Here is a 9,291-nt window from a genome sequence, read left to right on the forward strand (position 1 = left end):
AATATTACCTCTATAAATGTTGTCATTACCTCCAGTATCTGTGATATTGAGTTTGTGTGGTTATGATCATTTTTATCATTTATTTGTTTAGTTAGTTCATTCAGGGGATTGTTACATATAGATTCACTCAGGTGGGTTGGAAACACTACATTTATTCAAATAAAACCATGGCCTAGCATAAAATATCATTGATGACTCAATAGAAGGATAAATGTTTGCTATATTGTTAATTGTTCAATTAATTTCACAAAAATTATTTAGCACCTTGTGTTCATTGATGCTATTCATTTACTCTTTCTGCAGACAAATGTTTGCCACCTGCTTTGTGTCAGCAACCCTGTTGGGTGCTAAGAAATAAAGTCAGCACCTCTTCCTTCAAGGGACTCTCTATCTGGTGGTATTCCAGATAGATTGATTGATACATGAGTAATACATACTTATTGATAAATAAGTGAATCAATAATTATTACATAGAGGGGGCCACATCTAAATAGAGGGCTTTGAGGTAGAGATATTGTACATGCCTAAACGTTCTAAAGGCATGTTTGAGATAAATAAATATAAAACAAGAGAAGCATGAAGAGTCAAGCAGGATTTTTTAAAATATGGAAGATATTTTCTGACATTTATAGACTTTGGAGGCAAAAAGCAAGAATAAAGACTACTTTGCAGTTGTAATGGTGATTGAAGAAAGTTTATGGAGCCAAATAATGCAGCAGATGGAAAGGTGTAAAATCTGATACACAAAAGGACAGGTTGATTTTAAAAAAGAAAAAAGATATCTCGTTCTCTATGATAGATGGGAGTATAGATACATTTGTAAAGTTGGGGTAAAATTTGAATTAGTTCAGGTAGTGATGATTTAAGTTTTCTTCAAAGGCAATTTTCTATGATGAGGCTAGGAAGAAATTTGAATAGAAGTCTTGAGAAAAAATTTTAAGTTTTGGAATAATTTTTGAGGAAGTAGAAAGAAAACTGTTTAAGGAAAATCAATGATTATTGAGAAATATTAAATCCCCAAGGTGAGTTGACAACTACACTTTTATTTTAAGGCAAATCTGTGTATTTAAGCGAATTTCTGAGAAGTGTTCAGACAAATCTGTGTATTTGGAATAATTTCTTTAGAAGTATTTGGGAGCTGAGGCATGGTAATATTAAAATCCTAAGATTAGTAAGTCATATTATATACATTTATATTCTTAGCTTCTTAAAAATTTTTGCTGCTGAATAATTTTTGTTGTTTTTTTATTGTTGTTAATATAAAGTTGAAATCTAATTTGTTTTTTCATTTGCTTCTGCTCCAGTCACCCATAAGCCATTCATTTAGTTAGAAATTCTCAAAGAAACTTTTAACCTGCAGGGGTTCTTTCTGTCATTGTTCAAATGACATCCATTATGATCCACCGTCACTGTGTTCAGTATGTGTTGGAGAACTCTTACCTCTAGATATCCTCTCCTCACTTTGCCTCAATCATCTATTGAGAATGTGTGAATAAGAAAGTATTTATCAATATGTCATGAATGTAAAATGATACAAGCAAGGGGCCCTTTTGTTCAGTGAAGCCTCTACCAATTGGCATTGTGATTAGTACATTTTTATCATTAGTTCCATACTTTTAGTCCATTCGTACAATTCAAATACAGAAAAAAATGACTTCAAGTAAATGTTAACAGATGCTTTTACCTTTGTTTGTTCATGTGTGTGTGTGTTTTTGGATCTTTCCCCAAGAGCATATATTTACAGTAAGGAAAGGTGAATGAAGCCCTGATAGCTGTACCAGAGACTGGGAGGAGAGTAGAGAAGTGAATGAGAACAGAGAAAGCTGTTCTTAGAGACTTTCATTATAACTGCCAAAGCTGTAATCTGCTGCTTCTTCTGATAGCCATATCTCTAGTCAGTGGCTGCTCACAAAAGTAAAACAATTCAATTTGAGGTTTGGGGAAGATCAATTATAAATTAAGTCTGGAATCTGAATTTGTTAGAAGAAATATTGAAGCATGTGACAGTAACTGGAGGTGGCAGTAGTGTGAGTATAAAAGGGTATTAGTGCTGTCAGAGCATGTTTAGACATTGGGAAATATAGGTCAGCAGCTTAGAAAGGCACTAAGTTGGAGACAAGTTTGGAAAATATTTACATAAAGATAATCTCTGTCATTCAGGTTATGGACTCATGTGTTGTTTACCACTGGAGGGAGTGGAGTACCAAAAAAAAAAAAAAAGCCATTTAACATAGTGATTGAGGGGTGCGGTGGCTCACGCCTGTAATCCCAGCACTTTGGGAGGCTGAGGCAGGCAGATCAGCTGAGGTCAGGAGTTCAAGACCAGCCTGGCCAACATGGTGAAACCCCGTCTCTACTAAAAAATACAAAAATTAGCCAGGTGTGATGATGCACACCTGTAATCCCAGCTACTTGGGAGGCTGATGCAGGAGAATCACTTGAACCCAGGAGGCAGAGGTTGCAGTGAGCTGAGATCGCACCATTGCACTTCAACCTGGGCAACAGAATGAGACTTCATCTCAAAAAACAAACAAACAACAAAAACATAGTGATTGAGAACTCTGGCCTTAGACTCTGATTGATTCGATGTCAAATTACCATTTCAGGAAGTTATATTTAACCCTGAACAAGATACACAACATATCTTACCCTTGGTGTGAGCATTAACATAGAGATAATAACTATACTTATTTCAGGGAGTTTCCGTTGAGGATTATATGGGATAATACATGTAACATGTTTAGCAGATACCTGTCTGACATTTACTGTGTGCTCAATAGGTGTTAGTTAATGTTATTATTAATGTTATTATTAATGTTATCATTATTACTTTATGTAATAATGTATCTCCATCGGGTACAGAGAATACTTGATAAAAATATGAGAGGAAATTTAATGATTCTTTTAAAAAATATGCTAGAGTCACAAGTCAGCACCTAGTGAATGCTAGTATATTCACAGCATATCCAAAATTCAGTTCAATGAAAATGGAAATCCAACCTCAGTGTGTAACAACTTTCAATCTCCAAAATCAATTTTTGTGAGTATGGAGTGATAATCTTTTACCCATGTTTTTCAGAATGAGAGCTTTACACGAGGGTTGTCTAATAGTTAAATCTATTTAAAAAGATATTTCTGTAAACATGCTAAAGTGCTTCCTGTCTCTGATTAGTTCTTGCTGAATGACATGGCATTGCACAGTGTGAGTGCCTGAAACTTAAAATACAGGAAACTCTAGATCATTCTTAATAAATAAATCATGTGTGTTCCTGCCATCAATTCTGCTAACGCTTTTGTAGAAGCCAAAGCTAGTGTTGTGGTAAACTATCAATAATTAGGACCAACCAGGTCAGCTGTTTAGTGCCTTGATGTGACAGCAATATCTGTTCCTGTATATTTTTCTTTATTTTAGAACACTGAAACACATTTTATTAAAAAAATTAGTTCCTAGAATGTATTCATTCTTGTAACCATTGTTTTTTCTATGCGGCAATAAAACATCCATAAAAAGTAAACTACTTTTGAATAGCAAAGATAATCCTGTTGTTTTAGGCATTAAATTTTCTAATTACTTAGTAATATTTGATTGAATGCCTTGTATTGAAAACGTCATTACTTGCCATACTTCTTGGCTGTACCTACAACACTAGTAGGAAAAGGTGAAATCAGCTGAAAACAATAAAAAATTAAAAAGAAAAAAATTTTGATTCTTTATATTTTCAAAAAGAATGCAGTGGTCAACTCCATTCTGGGAGATAAATAGGTTATTATTAAGGAATGGACAAATCAAGCATATAATTAGCAGTTTAAATTCATTTAATATAAATTTACATTAACTTAAAAAACATAAATCTCATATATGCACTTAGTAATAGTTTCCCTTAAAGAAATGTAAAATAGTAACTAAATACAAAATTGGAGTGCTTTCACTTTAAAATCACTTTAAGTGCCTATTCTTATTCACCTCAAAGTGATAAGTTTGCTAAGTGTCTGTTTTAGTTTTGATTTCCACCAAAATACTTTTTCATTTAGCAAGTATCTATACATTTTTGGAAAATTTGGCTTTGATACAAATGTTATTCACATAACAATTCAATAAATATAGCTATGAAGTAAGCACTACACTTTTTATGGGCATACTTGGCTAAATAATCATGTGATCTTTATCCTAAAGAAATTTTTATTAAACTGGGTAAAACAGTTAAGTGAATACATTTTTTACAATATAGTGTGATAATAGCTATGATAAAGGCATTTATGGGATTCCAGGTGAGCATAGAATGGGGCAATAAAATCGTGTAGAGTGGCGATAAAAGTATAGTTAGAATAGAGATTTTAAGAAGAGAATAATAGGATATTATACTAGAGTGTTAGGTAGGCACCTGATTACAAATTGCCTTGTTGGTTAAATTAAAGAGCTTGAATTTTAACTAGAAAACTAAAGAAAATGCATTATATAATTTTAATTAGAAGTAATATGCAAACAGAAATGCACTTTTGAAAGTTTACTCCCATCCTGGGACATGAGAATGAGATCGGAAGGCAAGAGATCAGTTAGGAGGTTGCTGCTATAGGTTAAGTGTGGATTTCTGGGCTTATATTGTAGTTTATAGTGATAACAAATACATGGAGGAGTTGATATGTTTGACAGATCTTTAAAGTATAAATTCATAAATCCTTGGTAAGATGGGTGATGAGGAAGAGAGAAAATATATTAGCACACCTTAATTTTCCCCAAATTGTTCTTCCTTAAAAATAGAAAGACACTAGCTGGGTGCAGTAACTAGCACTTACAATCCCAGCACTTTGGGAGGCCGAGGTGGGCAGATCACTTGAGGCCAGGAGTTTGAGACCTGCTGGGCAACATAGTGAAAACCTGTCTCTACTAAAAACACAAAAGTTATCCGGGCATGGTGGAGCATGCCTGTATTCCCAGCTACTCGGGAGGATATGGCATGAAAATTGTTTGAAGCCAGAAGGCAGAGGTTGTAGCGAGCTGAGATTGCACCATTGCATTTTTGCCTGGACAACAGAGCAAGACTCTGGAAAAAAAAAAAAAAGAGACAGACACGTATTTACATATTTGAGAAGAATAATTGAAAATTGCTGTATATACTATGTTTAAATGAAGTTGTAGATAATACTCAATATTTGAGTATGTATGTATTTATTTACATGACTTTTAGTGCAAATATTATAAATGGTTAAGAACCCTGTATTATTTTCCTGTGGCTGCTTCAAAAATTACCACATACTTGGTGAATTAAAACAACAGAAATTTATTCTTTTATAGCTCTGGAGTCAGGAATTATGAAATCAGTATCAGTGGGCTGGAATTGAGGTGTCAGAAGGGCCATGCTCCCTCTTAAGGAGCTAAGGGAGAATTCAGTTCTTGCCTCTTCCAGCTTCTGAATGCTGCTGTTATTTATTAGTTTCTGCCTACATTACTTCAATCTTGAAAGCCAACCATCTTAAAATCTGTCTTCACTTTGCATTCACATTACCTCCTCTTCATGGGTAATATGTTTCCCTGCCTTTCTTCATAAGGACACTTGTGATTGCATTTAGGACCCACCTGACATCCCAGAATAATCTCCCCATCTGAAGATATTTAAAGGTTTCAGGGATTAGGACATAATATTTATTTTGGCAGTGGTTGGGGAGAAAGCATTAACCACTAACTAAAATGCCTGTTGTTATATAGTTAAAAGAGTAAAACATCTAGACTAGCTATATTTCTTTGTGTCAAACATCAAGTATGCACTGATAGGATTTGAAAAGAAAGAGCTTGAATTTTGTGGAATGCTGTATGAGTCCACTTATGAAAAGCCCTAGAAGAAGCAAATTCATAGAGACAGAAAGTAGAATAGAGGTTTTCAAAGGTCAGGGGAAAGAGGATACGGAGAGTTATAATTTATTGGGTACAGAGTTTCTGTTTGAAATGGTGAAAATGATTTGGAAATGGATGGTGTTTATGGTTGCACAACATTGTGAAAGTACATTTGCCATTGAATTATACACTTAAAAATGGTTTAAATTATAAATTTCATGTTATTTATATTTTACCACAATTTTTAAAAAGCTTGTAGAAAAATTATGTTTTGCCTTGTTAAGAAAAAGCTGACCCAAATGTCAGAACACAGAGACACAGACTTAAGATAAAAAATGACTCAACTTTTTCTCTGCCCTTTGATTAAATCTATAACGCCATCAACATTACCCCAAATGGATATTTTGAGAGTTGATTTTGTGTAAGAAATCGTGGATGCAAGACGGAAACAACTGCCAAACAGTAAGGCAAAAAAATATGAGTAGAGACAAAAACAAAACAAAACAAAACAAAACAAAACAAAACAGAACTGACACCATCTTCTGCTCCAAGTAAGATTACAAAACAAATTTCAAAAACCTGAAAAAAAATGTGATGTTAAAAAAGCGAAGGCAATCAATTGGATGACATTAAAAATATAGAATGAACTGAGAAAAAATAGTTTAAAATACGTATGTGTAGAGGGTGTATACTTCTGGCCATGAAATAGTAATGGGTGCTGTGTTTGCATTTTCTTTTAAAAGAATAAGAGAAAAAAATATGATACACTGATTTTTCAGACTTAGGATAACAAGCCAAAAAACGAATAATTGTTGAAGGGAAATAATTGGGATAGGTACCCCAACATTTTGCTGAGGATGGTTTTCAGGATGCAATACAGGCAGGGAAAATCAAGCAGGCCTGTCTGTTCCTTGGAGGTAAAGATCAGAATTTGGAGAGATCAAACTGATAGAATTTTGGGGGCAGCATAGTTGGGGCGGTGGGGGGAAACGAGCTACATCAACAAGGCTTCAAAGATCTCCAGAAAGTACCTCTTGAATTTTTGGCTACATAGTAATCTACAAATATTAGTAAGAACTATCCAAGGCCAAAGGGAAGAATGACAATAACAAAAATGCTTCATGTAAGGCTGGACGCAGTGGCTCACACCTGTAATCCCACAACGTTGGGAGGCCAAAGCGGGCAGATCACTTGAGTCCAAGAGTTCAGGACCAGCCTGGGCAACATGGTGAAACCCTGTCTCGACCAAAAATACAAAAATTAGCCGGACATGGTGACGCATGCCTGTACTTCCAGCTACTTGTGGGGCTGAGGTGGGAGAATAGCTTGAGGCCGGGAGTTTGCAGTGAGCCTGGGAGACAGAGCGAGACTCTTTCTGAAAAAAAAAAAAAGAAAAAAAAAGAGAAGGAAAGGAGAGAAAGAGAGAAAGGAAAGAAGACCCCATGTAAAACAGTACACCCAACAGTCCCTCTCATAATGCATTTGGATATTTGGATATTAGGTAAAGTCCTCAGAAGTATATCACATTAGTTATTCAGGAAAAATCAAGCCAGAAGACAATGGAGCATTATCTTTGAAATACTGAAAGGGGAGGAAAAACCTGTTATTTTGTTTGTTTAAGTTCTTATTTATTTTTTATTTTTTATTTTTTTGAGATGGAGTCTCGCTCTGTCACCAGGATGAGGATGGAGTGCAGTGGCACGATCTCAGCTCACTGCAACTCCGCTTCCCAGGTTCAAGCGATTCTCCTGCCTCAGCCTCCTGAGTAGCTGGGACTACAGGCATGCCACCACGCCCAGCTAATTTTTGTACTTTTAGTAGAAACAGGGTTTCACCATGTTGGCCAGGATGGTCTCAATCTCTTGACCTCATGATCCGCCTGCCTTGGCCTCCCAAAGTGCTGGGATTACAGGCATGAGCCACCAAAATTGAAAAAATAAAAAATTAAAAGTGAAATAGTTTCCTGACAACAAAAGAAAATTAATCATCAGCAGGCCTATGCTAATATGTTTATAAATTTGTCAGGCAAGAAGTAAATAATACCACATAAAAATGTGGAGCTAAAAATAAGAATGAAAGCTCCTTTCTTTCCTCCGAGAAAGCTAAATACTTGGGTAAGATACAAGAAAACTCAGAGTAAATTAATCATACTGTAAGCAGAAGTCAGGAAAAAAATAAAGATAACAACAGAAATAAATGAAAAGGGAATACTGAAAAAAAGAGAAAAATTAATGAAAACTAAATCTGATTCTCTGAGTAAATAAGTACAATTAATAAACCTATATTCAGAATAGTTGGAACAAAAAAAGATGACACAAATTACCAATGTCTAAAATAGAAGAGACCTCACAGGTATTAAAAAATACTAAGAGAATATTATAAACAGCTTTTAGTCAATAAATCTTACAACTTTCAAGAAATAGATAAATTCCTTGAAAGAAGTAAACTACCAAATGCCACACAAAAAGAGATAAATAATATAAATAGTACCTTGTCTATTAAATAAATAGAATTCATAATAGAATCCTTTCAACCTAAAATACTCCAGAATTTTAGGAGTATTTTAGGCTTCACTTGTGGCTTCACTTGTGAATTCGTCCAAATATTTAAAGCACCAATTCTACAAAATTCTTCCAGAAAATAGAAATGATGAGAACACTCTGTATTTTTATGAGGACAGCATTGCTCTAATACCAAAATCAGACAAACCCATTCCATGAAAAAAAAATTGTCCAATATTTCTAATGAATGTAAACATAGAAATCTTTTTAAAAATGTAAGAAAATCAAACCCATAAATAAATAACATATTGTGGTAGGCAGAATATTGAATCTCCAAAGATGCCAATGTAATAATCTCTGGGATCTATGAATATGTTACCTTGCATAGAAAAAGAGATACGATTAGGCTGAAATTTTTTTTTTTTTTTTTTTTTTTTTGATGTAGTCTTGCTCTATCGCCCAGGCCGGAGTACAGTGGCATGATCTTAGCTCTGCTTCCTGGGTTCAAGTGATTCTCCTGCCTCAGCCTCCCAAGTAGCTGGGATTATAGGCGTGCACCACTATGCCCAGCTAATTTTTTGTATTTTTAGTAGAGACAGGGTTTCATCATGCTGGCCAGGCTGGTCTCAAACTCCTGACCTCATGATCTGCCCACCACGGCCTCCCAAAGTGCTGAGATTACAGGCATGAGCCACCACGCCTGTCCTAGGCTGAAGATTTTTAAATGGAGAGATTATCTTGGATTATTTGATTGAGACCAATGTAATCAGAAGGGTTCTTAAAGGGGGAAGAAAGAGATAGGAAAGAGAGAGAGATGGGAGCAAGGAGAGAGAGTCAGAGAGAGAGAGACAGAGAGAGCTGACTAAAGAATTGTCAGAGAGATGCAAAGTTGTTGGCTTTGAAGATGGAAAATAGAGATCATGAGCCAAGGCATGTGAGTGGCCTCTTAAAGTTACGAAG

This window comes from Homo sapiens, chromosome 13 (genome assembly GCF_000001405.40).
Source record: "Homo sapiens chromosome 13, GRCh38.p14 Primary Assembly".
NCBI lineage: Eukaryota > Metazoa > Chordata > Mammalia > Primates > Hominidae > Homo > Homo sapiens.